Genomic DNA, 15,993 nt, shown 5'->3' with positions numbered 1-15,993 from the left:
GTATACATATGGTCAAAACAAGAGCCTCGAGGCTGGCCTCAGTGGCTCACGCCTGTAATCCCAGCACTTTGGGAGGCCGAGGTGGGCCAATCATGTGGTCAGGAGTTTGAGACCATCCTGGCCAACATGGTGAAACCCCGTATCTACTAAAAATACAAAAATTAGCTGGGTGTGGTGGTATGTGCCTGTAATCCCAGCTATTCGGGAGGCTGAGGCAGGAAAATCGCTTGAACCAGGGAGTCGGATGTTGCAGTAAGCCAAGATCGTGCCATGGCACTCCAGCCTGGCAACAGAGCAAAACTCCATCTCAAAAACAAACAACAACAACAAAAAACCCCAAGAGCCTCATAAATACTTATCCTCACAACATGCAATATACTATTGTATTTTCTGTTTTATTCTATTTCTCTTTTAATGTTGGTCATAACCTCCTAAACTGATTCACAGCCCACTAAATGGGTCATGACCTACAGTTTGAAAACCTATTGAAAAGAAAGCCCTCTGCCCTAATTGTCACCTTTGAGACTGCATCACCCACCTATCCCATTCCTACCTCACTCATGCAGGGCGTCTGTCGGGGCCAGCAAGGGTCTGGGAAACCTGCTCTGTGAATCATCTGCTTGCAGGTAATCAGGCGTTGTCTGTCATCACTGTGGTCAGGGAGGAGGGTGATGGAGGAAGAGAGGAAATTATAGATTAGGACATCTTTTATCCTGAATGCGGGAAAATTGGGAGAACCAAGTACAGCTTTCAGTGTCTCTCTCATTCTGTGTTATTTCTTTATCTCATTTATGGTATTTACGCCTTGGACAAGGATGAAAGCAAACAAAAGCAGGCCTGAGTGACCCTGGCCTGTCTCCTCTGGACTTGTGCTTCCCTGCTGTCAAGTGGGTGGCCGCACAAGCTGGCTCCTTGAGCAGCTTCTTGCACTGATGTTCCCTGTTTCTGTTTGTCCCGAGGTGAGGGTGCGGGCCTGGAAACCAGCGGCTGGAAAGCAAAAAGAAGGAGGTGTTAGGCAAGGAGGAAGACAGAGAGGGGGTTGGGGCCAGGAAGAAAAAGAAATGCCAGAGTGACAAGACATGCCCCTGGTGGCAGCAGGTGCTGCAGCCTGCGTTCTTCCTGCACCTTCCCTGAGAAGAGCAGCGGAGGCTGTGGGCAGGAAGCTGCTGACCAGAGCAAGCCCACTTCTTTCTGAGCCAGTGGGCTCACACAATGCTATCTCTGAGTCCTTTAAAACTTACAGCCTTTTCAAGCCATCAGAACCCAGAGTCCATCTGGTTACATTTGCTTCCATTTAGAGAAGGAAAACTGGGGTCTCAGGAGGAAAGAGCTCACCGTGAGTCACACAGTCACAGTGCTGAAGCTGGAACCACAATGGACCCCACTACAGTCATACCATGTCCCCTGCCCTTGGGGGCCACAGAGACCTCCAGCTAGAGGGAGCCCCACTTGCTCAGGGCTGGTGGCATTCAGCTCCTGGAAGAGCACAGATTGTTTCAGCAATTTAGAAAGAAGCCACACTGCATGGGAGATCTTCCTCATTGATGCCTTCACATGAGGGCAAAGCCATTTTTTCTTTTCTGGACCTAGGTTTCCTCTTTGGCAGAACTGGGGAGTGGAGCTGGTTGGGCTCTGAGGCACCTGAGATTGTATAAGTCCCTGGCTGAGCTGGACCTGGAACCCCACAGGGAAAACACTAAGTTGCAGTCAGGGTATCTAGTTCTGGCTCCAGTTCTGCCTCTGAGGAACTGCCTGGGCCTCTGTGTCCCCATCAGTGAAGTGCAGGGACTTCAATTTGCCAAAATGTTCTAAGGATCCGTAATTCAGAAGGTGTTAAAAATCTCCCCTGGGTGCCTGTTCTTGTGCCCCAGGGATAGGCCAGAGGCTTCTCTAGTTGTGCACTGGCACTGAGAAGGCAGGACCCAGTGGTGCTGGTACCTTGGTCCTGTGGCAACAGCTCTGCTGGCGTGGGCTAGGAGAGTGGTTGATTTGTGTTTCTGCTCACCCTTCCTATAGCAGGAGGTATCTTCCCTACAGCTGCTCCAGGGAAACTGCTGTAGCCCTATTGTCTTCTCCTTGTCCACCTGCTTGGCCCTGGCCCCTGCAGCCCTCCCTCTACCCACAAAATCTGCCAGGGTCTCTGTCATGGCCTCTATGATTAAAGGATCCCCCATGCATCTGGATTTGGCTGCCTGTGACTCCAAGACTGCGGACCCCAGGATGTGAGACCCTGTGTGTTGATAGCTAAATGACTGTGTTCTCATTTGTGACATTTCAGGGATACTACATCAACCTCGCTAACGCCTGAGGACACTGAAGACATGCCCGTGGGGCAGGATTCGGAAATCTGCCTGCTGAAGTCTGGAGAACTGATGTAAGTGGCAACTGCTGCCTGGGCCCTCCCCAGGTGTGGCATTGGGAGGAGCACTGGCCTCTCCAGTGCCGGCGCTGGGGACCACCTCGGGGGCTCTAACTTAATACCAGTGGGGCTTCGTTTATTCTTTTTTTTCAGGCATAGCTTATATACATTAAGATTCAAGCAAGTATACAGTGCTTGAATTTTCATTAATTATACAGTGTGATCACTACCGCAATTAAGATATAGAACAGTTCCCTCACCCTAGGAAGTTGCCCCTTTATAATATTCCTCCCACACCTCATGTTCTTTTTTCAAAATAACTTTGTTAATTTTTTTATTGTATGAGCAGTACACTTTCATTGTAAAAAATTAGGAAAATAGAGATAAGCAAAACATTTTGGCATATAGCCTTCCAGTCTTTTTTATACACATATATGCATATAATTTTTGACACAAACAAATATTCTAAATCTTATTTTGCAGTCTTTTAAAACTTCCTATAGCATGAGTATTTTCCCATATCATCGAGTTCTCCAGTGTTGTGTCCAGTGGCTGCATAATTGTCATTAAATAGATTCAGTCACTCATTCACAGATATTTATTAATTATCACAATGTGCCAGGTACTATTTTAGGTGCTTAGAGCATGTCAGTAAACAAAACCAAGAAAGGCTGACCCCTCGCCCTCATCAAGCTTATATTCCAGCAGGGGTTGACAGATGATACGCTATAAACATAATTAAATAAGTCAATATTGTATAAATGTTACAAGGTAGTGCTTGCTATGGAAAAAGATAAAGTAGGATAACAGGGAAGGGGAATTTGCCATTTTAAATAAAGTGACAGTAAGAAGATAAGACTTGAAGGAGGTGAAGGAGTTGCCAGGCATCTATCTGCGGGTATAGCATTTCAGGCAGAGGGAACAGGCAGCACAAAGGCCCTGAGACAGGACAATGCCTGACATGTTCAGGGGCTGAGAAAAGGGCCAGCGTGCCTGCAGCAGAGAGAACCAGGAGGTGGAGTCAGAGTGGAAATGAGGGTCCCAGCACATAGGGCCTTGTTGGCCATTGTAAGGACTTTGACTTTGAATCTGAGGGAAATGGGACCCCCAAAATGAGGTGTGTAGCATTAAGAGTGACTTAATCTAATTTACAGTTGAAAAAGGATTGTTCTGATTGCCATGTAGAGAATAGATGATGGAGGATGAGAGCCAAAGTGGGGAGACCAGTTGGGAGGGTATTAGAGGAATCCTTGTTCCTTGGACCAAGTGTTGGCAGAGAGGGCAGAGACCAGGGCAAATTCTGGACCTATTTTGAAGGTGGTGCAGACAGAATTTCCTGAAGGTTTAGATGTGGTCGTGAGAGAATAATCTATTCCACCAGTCCTCAGGTGACCTTGGACCACACTTGGACAAACACTATATTGAATTATGGGGCAGACCAAGCAGGAAGAATTAAATAGCTAGCCCACTCACAAGCTGTTGATGCTGGGGGAGTATGAAGTGTCAGGGCCACCCTTTCTGGAGAGCAACTTGGCTGCAGAATGTACCAAAAGTTCAAGAATTGCATTTTCTCTTTGATGCAATGGGCCTGTGTCTGGGAATTTATCCTGAGGAAATAATGACTGGAGGTGCAAAGATAAAGCTACCAAAATGTCCCTTGCATGCTACTCACAGCAGTGACAATTAGAAATAGTAACAGAGAACTTGGGTGGTCGTGAATGGCTGTTGAATTTTGCCAGATCTTTTTTCTACATCAATTGATAAGATCATAGGCTTTTTCTTCCTTAGCCTGTTGATATGATGGATTGCATTGATTGACTTTCATATATCAAACCAGCCTTGCATACCTGGGATAAATCCCACTGGCTGTGGTATATAATTCTTTTCACACACTGCTGGATTTGACAGAATATCTAAAGGATGTTTGCCAGATATAGAATTGAAAGTTCTTTTCTTTCAGCATTTGAAATATGTGTGCTGCTACTTCCCTCTGGCCTCCATGGTTTTAGATGAGAAATCCCCTGGCATTCAAATTGGTATTCCCCCATAGATAATAAGTTATTCCTCTCTGCCTGCTTTCAAGTTTTTTCTTTGTCTTTTGTTCTTAGACGTTTAATTATGATGGGTCTTGGCATGAATTTCTTTGGGTTTTTCCTATTTGGGGTACACTCAGCTCTTAAATCTCTAGGCTTATCTGTCATCATATTTGGGAAGTTTATAACCATCATTTCTTTGAACATTTTTTCAGATGCACTCTATTTTCCCTCTCCATTTGGGACTCCAGTGATACAAATGTGAGATCTTTTGTCCTTGCCTTGTAGATTCCTCAGGCTCTGTTCTTTTTCCTTGCACCCTGTCCCCCAATTCTCTTTTCCCTGTGTTGTTCAGATTGAGGAATTTCTGTTTTTCTCTCTTCAAGTATAACTGTCATCTTTATTCAGCTATTGAGTGTCCAGTGATTTTTTTTTTATTTTGGTTATTGTAATTATTTAGTTCTAAAATTTCCATTTGGTACTTTTTTATATCTTCTGTTTCTTTGGTATGAGTTTTCCACTGTTTTATTGTTTCAAGAACATTTAAAATTGTTACTGAAGCATTTTTTTTGATGGCTGCTTTAAAAGCCTTGACAGATAACTCCAGCATCTGGTTGATGTCAGTGTCGGCTTCTGTTGATTGTCTTTCCTCATGCACACTGTGATTTTCCTGGCTCTTAGGATAACGAGTGGTTTTTTATTATGTGTAGGTGGGGGGCTCAGAGACGCTAAGCTGTTGTGATTTTCCTCATATTCTGGGGGTCCTTAATCAGTCCGCCTTCCTTCTCCTGCCCTTCACTTTTACTACAACTGCTGAATCATTTTCAGTTTTTTTAGTGGCATTTAATGGGAAAGAACAGGGAAATGTTTGAAATCATTTATAATAAAACTGGTAAAAAACCTACCCTCAAGTAAAGGAATGAGGAAAGTTATGAGATTTAGAAATAACTAGACCACACAGATCCAAGGCAGGTCTTTGAGGAGAATAAGACAGTATGGAGAATAGGTCGGCTGGACATGGGAATAAAATGCAAGGAGAATGACAACACCTTGAAAGTTATTTTTTTCTGCCTCTTTCAAAGAGAGTGACAGCAAGCTAAGGATTAGCAACAACATCATGAGAGCATCTGAAAACATGTTAAAGGTTGGGATTATCTCAGAACACTGCAAATGTGTTGGTACCCCTTGACTCATGTAAACTGAAATTTCTTAGGTCACTCAGTGGAATTCACATCTGTGACATGAGCCTTATAGACAATAGGCATCTTAAGATTATATTATATTTGAGCAAACCTTTGATTTGTTTTTGTTAAGATCTGCTTTGGAGAGGCTGAGTATTGTCCTTGTCACTGAATAGATGATGTCTAGATGATGTCTAGACTAGATGATTGAGGCACAATCCAAATACCTGGGTGCCAGGGGAGAATTCTGGAGCATAAAATTATAAAATGCTCCAGCATTAATGTATTAATGGGGCATTATGTCAGGGTAAGTGACTTTTTACATGGTAATATGGTAAGATTTCCACATTACAAGAAAGATGTCTGTTCCAGAATGGACCCCCCAAACCTGCCCTCAGATTCTTGAAAATTGTAAATGTTGGTCGAGGGTTCTTAATTAGAAATAAAATTTAACACATGGAGAAGTATCGCATTGAATTGAATTCTCACAAAGGTGAGTATTGGAGCTGTTCTTTAAAGCATCCTGGTTTTTTAATCATTTCTTACCGTTCTCATTAGCTTTGGGGAGTCTGTCCATTCATCTCCACAGCTTTGGAGGCAGATGAACGCTCAGCACCACCACTTGCTGCGCAGTGTTGGGCAAGTTACCTAACCTCTTTGAAGTTAATTCCCTCCCCTGTGTTAAAGGGGATAGTAATACATTTTCTCCACAAAAGGCAGTTTGGTATGGTAGGAAGATGATGGCTTTGCCTCAGACCTGTGTGAGCCTGGATTGAATTTCTCAATCTTTTAGAATCTTAGTTTCCTCTTTTGTAGAATGGCAACAGTCATGCCTTCCTCAAGGAGCCATTGCAGTAACATGCAAAATTGTTGAGCACAGGGCGTGGCCTATGATGGCCGCCACCTTCCCATTTCACAGTTGAGAAACCGAGGTTCAAAGTGAGTGAGTGACTCACCCAAGGCCACACTGCTCCTAAGTTGCAGCTCTGCACTGGAGGCTCTGTCTCCATGATCATGAGCTAACCTAGCTGCCTCCAGAGTTGCACAGTGTAGGAGTGGTGCCACTCGGCCTGGAAGGGGCCCTGAGGAGCAAGCTCCCTGGGTTCATCTTGTAATCTAGTCCTTGCAGCAGTCCTGAGGCAGGTGTGGTTGTCCTTGTTTGGCAGATGAAGAAACTGAGGCTTATGCAGCAGGGATGCAGTGAGGCAGGTCCCTTGGCCCCTAACCTCACATTCTTCACGTCACACTCTGGGTCCAGCACAGAACCCCAAAAACAGAGGAACTCACTGTCAATGAACCTTATAAACTTCTTGAAGAAGCTTTTATCTACCCAGGGAGAGTAAGAACAAGCTTTTCTCCCCAAAACCGTTGTATTACTTGCACCACCCTTGCATTATAAAGAGTATGGGATGTTGGCATTTGAGGAAAGGTCAGGGTGTCCATGTGGAATCTTACAATGGACGCCAGATGCAGCTGAGAAGATGGACTATATCAGAAGGCTGGGAGGCTTGTACTAATTAGGTGAAAGGGCGAGGCAGGGAACTGGAAGGAGAAATGGCAGAGAAAAAACAGATGGCTGAGCAGCAGGGCATCTTCAGGAGAGCAGCAAAAAGCTGTGCCTCGGCACTTGCTTCCTGTCCATGAGGGCCGTGGAGCAGGTCAGGCCATCCTCAGTTCCTTAGTTCCCATGGGCTTTAACCTCCACACAGGCAAAGGTGTCATCTGTATTTTTTACTGCTGTCTCCTCCGTGCCTAGACCTATGCCAGGCATGTAGTTAGCGCTCAGGAAGCATTTGTTGGAGTGAGCTGCCCATCCCATAATTAAGCATGTTGGCCAAGGTTACCCAGGGCTTGTCCTCTCAAGAGTCTCCGAAGTCTCCAGCCACCTCTGAGCCACAGATGACCTGGCCAGTGGACACAAACACTTTGCCCAGTCAATCAGGTCCCTCTCTGTATTTTTATTTTAGGATCAAAGTACCCCTCACAGTGGATGAGATCGCCAGCTTCGGGGAGGGTAGCAGGGAGCTGTTTGTGAGGTCCAGCACCTACAGCCTGATCCCCATCACTGTGGCCGAGGCAGGCCTCACCATCAGCTGGGTCTTCTCCTCTGACCCCAAGAGCATCTCCTTCAGTGTGGTCTTCCAGGAGGCCGAGGACACACCGCTGGATCAGTGTAAGGTAAGGCTGGGCTCCCTGCCTGTGGGCTCCTTACACACACATCTGGGTACTTGGGCAGGCCTTTCTCAAAGCAGGGCAGTGGCCATCCTATCCTCTGCTGGGCAGGCCTCACTTGGAATGTTCTGGGCAGTATCATGCAGAGAAGGCAGAGCACCTGGGCCTTGTCCAGTTTGGGGAGAGAAAGACCCAGAAGTTCTGGAAAGCTGTTCTCAAATGTCTGAAGGTCACACCTGTGTGAAACAGGTACAGTCTGCCCTTGGGATAGATGGGTAGGTGAAAGAGGAATACAGACGTATGACTCAATTTAAGGATCATTTTCTAATAGAGCTGTGCAAAGCAGGAATGGATCACCTTGGGAGGTGGTGACCTCTCTTCCTCTAGTTTTTAGCTTAGGGTGCATCTCAACCCGGAAAGGTGTCAGTAGAGACAACCCCAATGTCACTTGGGTGGTCGAGCTTGAAATCTTGGTGGCAGGTACCAGTTTATAAATTCCTAAGACATTCTAGGCATGGAATGTTGACAGTGCCCGGACTGTTGTTCTCAACCTTGGCTGCAAATTAGAGTCTCTAGGGGTGGGATCCAGACATCTCCAAGTGATTCCAATGAGCAGCCAAGGTTGAGAACCACTGGTGTAGATCAGGGGGTTGAAGCCAAAGTGGAAAGGATGAGGTGGAATCCAGACCACAGGGACAGAGGTTGGGCAGGGCTCCATGGGTGGCTGATTCAGTATGGGGCAAGGAGAAGGGAGACCCATGCCTGAGGTCTGAATTTGATGCCTGCATCTCTGCAGAGAAAGGGTGTAGAGGGATATGGGAGGGAGAGATGGTTTGCATGGAAACACAAGTTCCATTTGAATCATTCTGAGTGAAAGAAATGGTAAAAGCCGTTGGGCCTGCTGGACTGGAGCTGAAAATGGATCCTAGTCTGGGAATATGACTGCAGAAATCTCCATTTTGCAAGAATTGCAAGGATCAAGATAGGGAAAAGCTAGCTGAAGTCATGTGAAACAAGAGTTCTGTGAAGTCTTTGCAGAAACATCTAATAGTCCCTTGTGTGTTTGGTCCACTGGGTGCCCTCGAGGGGCTTGAGGCTGAGGGATGAGGAGGGCCCAGAGCAGGAGAGCCCAGCTAGGAGACACATTGGGCCACACAGCAGTTCCTGCTGTGGCGCTGGCATCCCATAGAGGAACACGTACCCGTTTGGGTTTGCTCTCCTGCCATCCTGCCCTGTTGGAATCTGCTCAATGCAGGGATCGCTTTTGTCATTTCTCTGCTTTTCAAACTCACTCTCAAAATGTAACTCTACTCCCTTGGGTTGGCCTTGTTTATTGGAATCTCATATTCTGTCTTATTTAAAACCGCTCTGCCCATCTTATTCTTTTGGGGCTTGTAGCCAGCTCCTCCTACCTACCTCTGGAGCCCTTCCTTCTTGAGCAGTTCTGAGCCCCCACCCAGGAGGTCCTGGTGCGGCCAACATGCCTGTCAGCTCCACACTAACAAACGGCAGCACTGCCAAGAGCTGCCCTTGCCACTCACCATCACGTTCCCCAGACCCACCAGGCCCCCAGCCCTGAATCCACCCAGATCAGACACCGTGAGTGTTTGTGGCAGGGAGGGAAGGGACGAAATCAGGGATCCAGGCCTTTGCTGTTTTGCCTGCCCATATGTGGCTGGGCTGTGGGCCTCTCCCCTTGCTCAGTCCCTACCCACCGAGTCCTCAGCAGCCTGGGGTTCCTGTGTGGCTCTACCAGGAATCAGGAACTTGGGGACCTACTGAGCCTTCCTCCTCTAGCTTCCAGGGGGCCCCACTGCCTTTCCCCACAGTGACACCAGGGGGCAGAAGGGGCCCGTGTACAGGATGCTTAGGTGCTCCTCTGCCTTCACAGGCCACTGTCACCAACCACAGATGGGGGTGGCTGTTATCTCTGCCTGAGGTCCCCCAAAGAGACCATGGCCAGGGTAGCCTGTTTCCAGACATGTGCCCTCAATATCTATCCCGGGGACTCCCCGAGTGCACTCCTGACCAGCCTGGGCCTTAGAGGAAATGACAGATGCAGTGCAAATTGCAGCACTCAGACTTCATGATTACGGAGGTATAGACACAAGGAATTATGCTGTGTATTTGCAACCATTTATTGAGTGTGTCCTGTATACTGGACTCTGTAGGGCCCACGGGGGATAGAAAGATGAAGGGATAACATGGGATCTCCCGTTGAGGAGCTCACTGTGTAATCAGAGAGAGACTCTAATAAATAGACATTTGTGATTCCAGGTGGTTTCATGACAGGGGTGGGTGGGCACTGTGGGTACCCCTGGGAAGGATGCCTAGCCCAGCCTGGGGAACAGAGATGAGGAAAGGAGACCCCTGGGCGATGATGAAGACCACAGTGGAGGAAACCAGAAGCAGCATTGTGAGGTGAGGCGAGGGACCTGTGGGCTTGAGGAGAAGCATCCAGGTGGATGGAATAGCACAGCAGAAGGCCAGCCCCGTTTCTAGGGGCACCTGTCAGACACTCTCCACCCTGTGCCACCCTCTCTCCAGACCCACTTCCTCCATTATAGTCATAGACTCGACACTGAGATTGGAGAGTGTGAATCTAGGGGAGGCACTTGATGAAAGAAATTATGAACCAGGTTACCAGTGTACACACCGCTGGCCTGAGGCCCAGGGACAAAGTGGAGAATTGGATCCAGACTCTGTCCTCTCTCTGGGCAGAGGATCCGTCTTTGGCCAGAGGTCGATGGCCTGTTGGGGTGGGCTTCAGAGGGAGTCAGAGGAGGAATCAGCTGACAGCAAGGACCCTTGACTTTGTTTTTTAAAACAGCTTTATTGAGATATAACTCACGCACTTGGAATGTACAGTTTAATGGTTTTTAGTATATTCACAGAGTTGTACCACCATTACCACTGTCTAATTTTAGATTCTTTCCATCACTCCAAAAAAGAAATTCTGTGCCCATTAGCAGTCACTCCCCAACCTCTGCCCCCAGTGACCACTAATCTATTTTGTGGATATGCTGATTCTAGATGTTTCATGTGAATGGAATGAATGAAAAACAGCTGGAATGAATGAAAAGGCTACAGAGTAAGATGTTTTAAAGAAATGAAGAGTATCATTTTCAAGAACGCACATTAATCTATGTTAAACATGCCCTCTTCAGGGGACCTGCCTTAAGGAGCTCTTGATGTTGCTTGTAATCAAGGTAGTGAGTGCGAGGGTGTGCAGGGTGGGCACACCAAGGTCCCCATGCAAACAGCAAGCCTTCCCCTCCAGCAGCTCCTTCCCATACACCCCTGCTGCAGTGTCTGAGACCAGGCCAGAGTTGTTAGGTTGTGGATCACAGAAACAGAACCAACCCCTCACTCTCCCGGGATCCTTAGTCCCTGGTGGAACTAGAATGTGATAGAATATTAATGGAAGTAAATGAGACGCCGTGTGCAGAAGAGGCAGCACAGAGCCTACGTGTAGCAGGCCCTCAGTGTACACTCTTTGTACACCTTTGTCCCCTCCAGCCTTGTCAGGGGCCCGTCCTACTCCCTCACCACTACCAGCTGCCAGCCTGAGCAAGCACACTGTTGTGTTAGGAACACAATGCTCGCTCTCCCTCCCATGCCTTTTTGATTCCCCTTTTGATTTCCCTTCGATCCACACGTTTGAATTTGTTATTTAGTTTTCAAATATTTTGAGATTTTCCAGAGATCTGCTCTTGATTTCTAATTTAATTCCATTGTAGACCTAGAACATACTTTGTATAACTTGAATCCTTTGAAGTTTGAGAGGTGTTTTCTTAATGGCCTAGAACAAGGGTGTCCAATCGTTTGGCTTCCCTGGGCCTCGTTGGAAGAATTGTCTTGGGCCACACATAAGATACACTAACACTAACGATAGCTGATGAGCTAAAAACAAAGACAAAAACAAATAAAAAAACTCATAATGTTTTAAGAAAGTTTACGAATTTGTGTTGGGCTGCATTCAAAGCCTTCCTGGGCCGCGGGTTGGACAAGCTTGGCCTAGAATGTGACCTACCTGGGTGAATGTGCCGAGTGCACTTGAAAAGGATGTACCTTCTGCTGTTGTTGGGTGGAGCGTTCTTTTTTTTTTTTTTTTGAGACAGTTTCACTCTTGTTGCCCAGGCTGGAGTGCAATGGCGCGATCTCAGCTCACTGCAACTTCTGCCTCCCAGGTTCAAGCGATTCTCCTGCCTCAGCCTCCCAAGTAGCTGGGATTACAGGCATGCGCCACCATGCCCAGATAATTTTGTATTTTTATTAGAGATGGGGTTTTGCTATGTTGGCCAGGTTGGTTTTGAACTCCTGACCTCAGGTGATCCACCCACCTCGGCCTCCCGAAGTGTTGAGATTACGGGCGTGAGCCACCGTGCCTGGCCGGAATATTCTATTATAGATGCCAATTAGGTCAAGTTAGTTGATGGTGGTGTTCGTCTTCTGTTTCTTCATTGAGTTCCTGTCTACTTATTCTATCAATTATTAAGAAAGAGGTATTGAAATCTCCAACTATAATTGTGAATTTGTCCATCTCTCCTTGCAATTCTACCACTTTTTGTATCATGTATTTTGAAGCTCTGTCATTAGGGGCATAAACGTTTAGGATTATTGTCCTTTTAATGAACTGACATATTTATCATTATGAAATTATCCCTGGTAATATTCTTTGATATAAAAGCTGTGTTATGTAATATTAATACAGTCAAACCAGCATTCTTTTGGTTAGCATGCTAGCCTGGTAATCTTGTTTACATCTGTTTACTTTTAACCTATTTGTGTCTTTATATTTAAATTGCATTTCTTGTAGGCATGATAGGGTTGGGTGTTGCTTTTATCCAGTCTGGTAATCTCTGCCTTTTCATTGGAATGTTTAGGCTATTTTCACTTACTGTGATTGCTGTTAAGGTTAGGTTTGAGTCTGCCATCTTGGTATTCATTTTCTCTTATCCCATCTGTTTTTTGTCTCTCTTCCTCACTAAGTGAGGGCAGTTGTTGGGCTCACCCTATTCCTGTCTCTCAGGGATCACTATCCTGCATTGCCTGATAACCAGTGTCTTGAAAACTGTCCTTTCATATGTTTTCTATTTTTTGTTTTGTTGTTTTTGTTGTTGTTATTGTTGTGTTGTTGTGTCCTGGGAGGGTAAATCTTAGATATTCTCCCATGCCTTTAAATATGTTGTCTCCACTGCCAGGAACAGCCAGATCCCTTCTCATTGGCTAAATTGTCCTAACTCAGCATCACTTTTTCCAAGAAGTTTCCCCTGGCATTCAGCCTCCTCTCTCCCACCCAGATGCTAGAATGGCACCCCTTGCCGGTTCTCCCCTCATGGTACTCTCACCCCAGTGTAACTGAATGTTTTCTTCTCTGTGATCACCATTAAACCACAAGAGTCCTGAGGGCAGAGTCCTTTGTGGGAATTCACTTCACTTTGGGAACTGTGTACCCAACATGTAGAGTTTAGAGAAAGATGCAGCTGTGTTCAAGATTAAGTTGAGAAAGTAATCGCATCCTTATATTAACAACTATTTTGGATTCAGTCATTTTGTACAAGTTAAAAATGTTTAATGGGAAAAAATTAAAACTGAATTTAATAAAAATTGTATTTCTGAAAAAGAAGCTACATTTTATTTTGTAAAGAATAAAAATGGTCACTTCTGGGGAAGTTTACCTCATTAGGAACTCAAAGTTGCTAAGATGCTGCTTCCGTTGTCTGTAGACCTTCTGGTCCATATAACCATTTATGTGTAGTCAGTCTTAAATGGAAGGCTTAGGGACACTTTATAAGACAAGATCCTCTAGGTGCTAGTCACTTCTTAAAAAAAAAAAAAAATGTAAGGGCTGGGCGCCGTGGCTCACGCCTGTAATCCCAGCACTTTGGGAGGCCGAGGCGGGTGAATCACTAGGTCAGGAGTTTGAGACCAGCCTGGCCAACATGATGAAACTCTGTCTCTATTAAAAATACAAAAATTAGCTGGGTGTGTTGGTGTACACCTGTAATCCTAGCTACTCAGGAGGCTGAGGCAGGAGAATTGCTTGAATCCAGGAGGCACAGGTTGCAGTGAGCCAAGATCACGACACTGCACTCTAGCCTGGGCAACAGAGTGAGACTCCATCTTAAAAAAAAAATTTTTTTTAAATGTTGGTTGGCTCTAGCCTAGCATGGTGGCTCACACCTGTAATCCCAGCACTTTGGGAGGCTGAGGCGGGCAGATCACCTGAGGTCAGGAGTTCGATACCAACCTGGCCAACATGGTGAAACTCCGTCTCTGCTAAAAATACAAAAATTAGCTGGGCATGGTGGTGGGTGCCTGTAATCCCTACTACTCGGGACACTGAGAAAGGAGAACTGCTTGAACCTGGGAGGTGGAGATTGCAGTGAGCCAAGATCATGCCACTGCACTCCAGCCTGGGCAACAGAGTAAGACTCCATCTCAGAAAAAAAAAGGAAAAAAAAATGTTGACTGGCTCTGCCTTATCTCCTAGAATATTTTCAGTTTTAAAATGAGGCCTGTGTCTTAGCTGGTAAGTAGGTTGAAGAGCCTGCCCTGGTGGGGAAGAAGTGAGCCATTCAAAGACCTCCCTCTGAGCCCTGGCCCTGTCTAGCACACACCCTTTGCACAGATTTTGTCTCTGACAGTGAGGCCCTTCAAAAATCGTCTGAAAAAAAAATCAATATCAGTGTCTCCTGGGACTAATTTCTCATTCTCAGGGAAGGCAGAGAGTGAATAGGAGGCTGAGGCCCAGGCACGGGAAGATGAAAGGGTCCTGGGGCACATGGACCAGCCAAAGCACAGCCAGGAGACAGGCCTAGGTGGAGCCAGAGATGTCGAGCCTGGAGGAGAGTGGGCCCAGCAGCTTTGTGCCTGGAAGATTGTTATCTGGAAGGAGGTCTCAGCCTGTCCTGCGAGACCCAAGGGCAGCACCAGGACCAACAGGAGACAGCTGGACAGATGGATCCCACCTAGACTAAGCTTCATATCCTGAAGGCAGAAAAGGGCTTCTCCTTTAGCCCATGGAGTGTTCTAGCATCTTCTATGTTCAAGGCTAGGGGATCACTCCTTAAGGGTGCTGACCAAGTCATGATTCTGGAAGAAACTCATAGCCACGAGTCATCAACAGCCTCAGGTTGTGGGATGGCACTGTGCCACTACTGGGGCTGGTCACAGCTCCGGCTCTGCTCATCTGTGACCTCAGGCAACACACTCAGCCTCCTACCCCAAAATAAAGGGTCTTCCCTGAGGATGCCGAGGGCCCTCTCAGCCTCTGTGATGTTTTTGCCTACCTGCTTTCCCTCCCAGGTCCTCATTCCCACGACCCGATGCAACTCCCACAAGGAGAACATCCAGGGCCAGCTCAAGGTTCGCACACCCGGCATCTACATGCTCATCTTCGACAATACCTTCTCAAGGTAGGGCCACCTCAGGCACCAGCTCCACGTCTCCAGGCCTCTCTTTCACCTCTTCTAAAGAGCAGAGGTGGACACTCAAAACCAATTATTTGTCAGTAACTTATTATTAATTGTTCTTTGATTGTTGACCCCTCTCCTGTGGTGTTCCAGTGTTCTTTAGAGATTTTGTGACACACAGGCTCATGCTTGCAGAGTCTTACCATGTCACTGCTGAGGGGTAGAGGAGTGACACTCCTAAGTCACAGAGCCAGTGGTGGAGCTGGATCTGAACCAGGCGGTCTGGCCAGTCTGAACTCTTCATAACCAAGGTGCCCTTTCCCTCTCTCTGATATTGATTCCCACTGCTCTGCCACTGCCCTGCCCAAAGAAGGGGCTTAGGAAATACAATGGAAAGACTGAATGAATGAATGAACGAGAAAGGGAGAAATAAAAGAAGGAAGGGCAGAGCTTGAGATAAGCAAGCCCAAAACTGCACCACAAAGCCCCTGGCCATGTGGCGGGAGCGACAGGTGCCATCTCTGGGAAGCACTCTGAGAACCAGCTAAGGTTCAGGAGTGTATAGGTTGGGAGATGGGGGAGAAGCTGGACAAGAGAATGAGAATGGAGGGAGATGAGGCCAGAGGGATAGCAGGAGGGGAGTGGAGACAGGACCAGCATTGACTGAGTATCTGCCAATCATTTGGAGAGGGGCTGGGCACCTGCCCCTGTTTATGTCTTCTGCTTCAGCACAGACCCCTTAACTGGAACCAGCTCTTTAGAGAGAACTGCCTGATCTGTTTCTGGCCACATCCTCTCTGAGCAAGGTCCTGGGCTACCGGTCACATCCC

General features: G+C 46.8%; 1 protein-coding gene across 13 annotated transcripts in view, besides 1 other annotated feature; it reads left to right on the top strand.

The window, feature by feature from the left end:
• FYCO1 (FYVE and coiled-coil domain autophagy adaptor 1) overlaps window positions 1–15,993 on the top strand; it is a 77,922-nt gene that overhangs the window by 57,003 nt on the left and 4,926 nt on the right. For 10 of the 13 annotated variants that reach the window (NR_170107.1, NM_001386430.1, NM_001386426.1 and 7 more), the window contains 3 exons: window positions 2,279–2,374; window positions 7,541–7,751; window positions 15,057–15,166. Coding sequence is in view for 12 of the 13 variants with exons in the window: in NM_001386430.1 (NP_001373359.1) it covers window positions 2,279–2,374; window positions 7,541–7,751; window positions 15,057–15,166 (417 nt within the window). In the remaining variant the exon portion in view is untranslated. Of the gene's footprint in view, window positions 1–2,278; window positions 2,375–7,540; window positions 7,752–7,856; window positions 7,995–10,778; window positions 13,372–15,056; window positions 15,167–15,993 lie in introns of those variants that run through there. The other 3 variants (NM_001386424.1, NM_001386428.1, NM_001386429.1) reach the window with 3 other exon arrangements.
• Window positions 78–1,277: an enhancer, noted in NCBI's record as "BRD4-independent group 4 enhancer chr3:45979037-45980236 (GRCh37/hg19 assembly coordinates)". NCBI's record gives its function as "activates an origin of replication core promoter dependent on BRD2, P300/CBP, MED14 and CDK7 cofactors, and independent of BRD4, by STARR-seq in HCT116 cells {active_cell/tissue: HCT116}" and the evidence as "EXISTENCE:reporter gene assay evidence [ECO:0000049][PMID:35650434]".

The sequence above is a fragment of the Homo sapiens genome, chromosome 3 (assembly GCF_000001405.40).
Source record: "Homo sapiens chromosome 3, GRCh38.p14 Primary Assembly".
In the NCBI taxonomy this organism is placed as follows: Eukaryota; Metazoa; Chordata; class Mammalia; order Primates; family Hominidae; genus Homo; species Homo sapiens.
Note: the sequence above shows the minus strand (reverse complement) of the source record. Positions and strands in the feature narration are given on the sequence as shown.